Source organism: Homo sapiens, chromosome 5, assembly GCF_000001405.40.
Source record: "Homo sapiens chromosome 5, GRCh38.p14 Primary Assembly".
In the NCBI taxonomy this organism is placed as follows: Eukaryota; Metazoa; Chordata; class Mammalia; order Primates; family Hominidae; genus Homo; species Homo sapiens.
Genome location: NC_000005.10, coordinates 7,995,338 through 7,997,601, shown reverse-complemented (window position 1 = coordinate 7,997,601; position 2,264 = coordinate 7,995,338). Strand labels below are relative to the sequence as shown.

The 2,264-nt window shown below is 42.7% G+C and overlaps 1 annotated feature.

The window, feature by feature from the left end:
• Window positions 858–2,057: an enhancer, noted in NCBI's record as "CDK7 strongly-dependent group 2 enhancer chr5:7995658-7996857 (GRCh37/hg19 assembly coordinates)". NCBI's record gives its function as "activates an origin of replication core promoter dependent on BRD2, BRD4, P300/CBP, MED14 and CDK7 cofactors, with strong dependence on CDK7, by STARR-seq in HCT116 cells {active_cell/tissue: HCT116}" and the evidence as "EXISTENCE:reporter gene assay evidence [ECO:0000049][PMID:35650434]".

The following is a 2,264-nucleotide window of genomic DNA, read 5'->3' as shown; positions in this document are numbered from 1 at the left end:
AATTCACCAAAATGTTCACAACAAATCAGAAACAGAATGATTTAGAGCAATTTAACCATTTTTGAGACGGTAGAAATAAACTAATTGCTACATTTTTGTCATTAATTAATAAAATAGTTTAAATGAGGTGCCCTATATTGAACCAAATGATGCTGTTTGTGTTTACTAACTTACCCAGTATCTCAAGTCAACAGGATCTGCAAATACAGGACTAAATTAGCCTAGAAATATAATTGCTTCTGACCTTGAAACCACCTTTGCAAAAATTATAACTGAGGAAATTATGACAGTGAAAGAGGTCAGACCTAACTGACTCCATCTTGCTTCTAACCTTTAAGCTGTCCTTGTTCATTCTTGGGCATCAGCCAAACTAACCTTGGGAAGGAATTTAGTTTATAGTTTGACTCTAAAAGAAAATTGATAATAGTCCTTTCCCAAAAAGACTCCCTTCTTGCCTGGGGACCAGTCTGCCTTTGTAGGGCTAACAAATTAGCTACAAGATTAGAAATTAAGGTTTAGGGGTCATGCAGCCTCTGGCTGTCAGAATCTGAACCTCCCGAGATTGCTCCTGGGATAACATCACTATTGTAAAGCCTAAGATCAGTGCTTCAGATATTTTGCAGACCCTGCACTCGATGGATCAGTTGACACCACCCAGGCCTGTAATTTGGCTCAATCTTTTCTGCAATCCCACCCAGGAACAGAAGACACCAAGAAAACCTAAATACGGCCACCTACGATTCCATTTCCAGCACGACCAATCAGCACTCCCCACTTACTGAGCCCCTACCCACCAAATTGTCTTTAAAAACGCGGATCCCGGAAGGCTCAGGGAGACTGACTTGAGTAACAATAAAACTCCAGTCTCCCACACAGCTGGCTAAGCCTGAATCACTCTTTCTCCATTGCTATTCCCCTGTCTTGATCAATTGGCTCTGTCTAGGCAGTGGGCAAGGTGAACCCGTTGGATGGTTACAACCCTCTATATGTTTTTACTATGTATATGAAAAAATATCGAGTACTTAATAAAAATTGCAGTCCAAGGCACGTGGTTTTGTTGGCATGTAGAACTGCTCTGCACAACGATTCAGAGCCTAGGATCGTTTCAACTCGCAGCACACCCATCCGCAGGGCTTCGTCTTCATCTGCATCCAGCCACTGTAGGGGAAAGAGTGAAGAGGAAGGTCACACACAATGCTCAGAAGCCTTGGTGTCACTTCTCACGTCTCATGGCTGTGACTCCCCCACCAGGTAGCACACGTCCAACAGCAAGAGAGGCTGGAAAATGCAGCTTAGCCTGGTGCCGGGACACTCCCATTTCCATGCAAGGTGACGAGGAATTTCAATGGCTGCCTGGTAGGTTCTAACACAGAATAAGATAGAAAAAATGATTACAGGTCAACTGGAACTGCCAACTAATTTCAGAGTTTCACAGACCTATCCACCCAGTCGTGAGTCATGACCAACTGGGACAGGCCTCTGGACAACAGCCACCTGCCCAGGTAAGACGAAGCCTAAACCAGCAGAGCAGAACCGCACTCCCTGCAGGCAAGTTCACACCCCAGAGCAAAAGAGGGAAGCGCACAGTCAACAGCGACATTCTTCATTAATTATCAATGCAGTAATTTCATAAATCTTAGTACAGAGAGAGGAAAGGGGGACAGAGGTCAGCGTGTTACACTTATTAGGCTCTTCCCACACAGAAGGAAACGTCTGGGCAGGAAAGAACAGTTCCGCTCTAACATCAGCTTTCAAGGACAAACCCAGTTTCTCCTATTTCCAAGGTAACTGACCCTCCAGACAGAAGCAGTCACTCATTCCTCTGTCTTCCTTAAAGTTGTGGACTCTCCAGTGGAACTTGTCCTGTTTCCCTTTTATCATACACATCTGTTTACATATTTAGTATCCCTAAATAGACTGTGCCCTTATGAAAAAAGCTCTTCATTTCTTAGCATTTTGCATTATTTTCAGTAGCTAACACTTTGTCCTTATATACACTAAAATCTTAACGATGAATAAATACATGATTCAAAGGTGTAAAATAAGCAAAAGTAATTGATTTGTACTTATGACAAAAGCGTGGGTTTCCTTCTCCTTGTGGCACCATGAATTGCTTACTGCATACATTGATTGCTACTAGAGAGAAAGTCCAGGTTAAAATTCTTCTCATGTATCAAAACCTGAAAGATATGGAACCAGTTTGGAATCTAACACGGCATGTCAATTACAAAGATGGAACACAAAGCCTGAGCATTCCAGTTTCA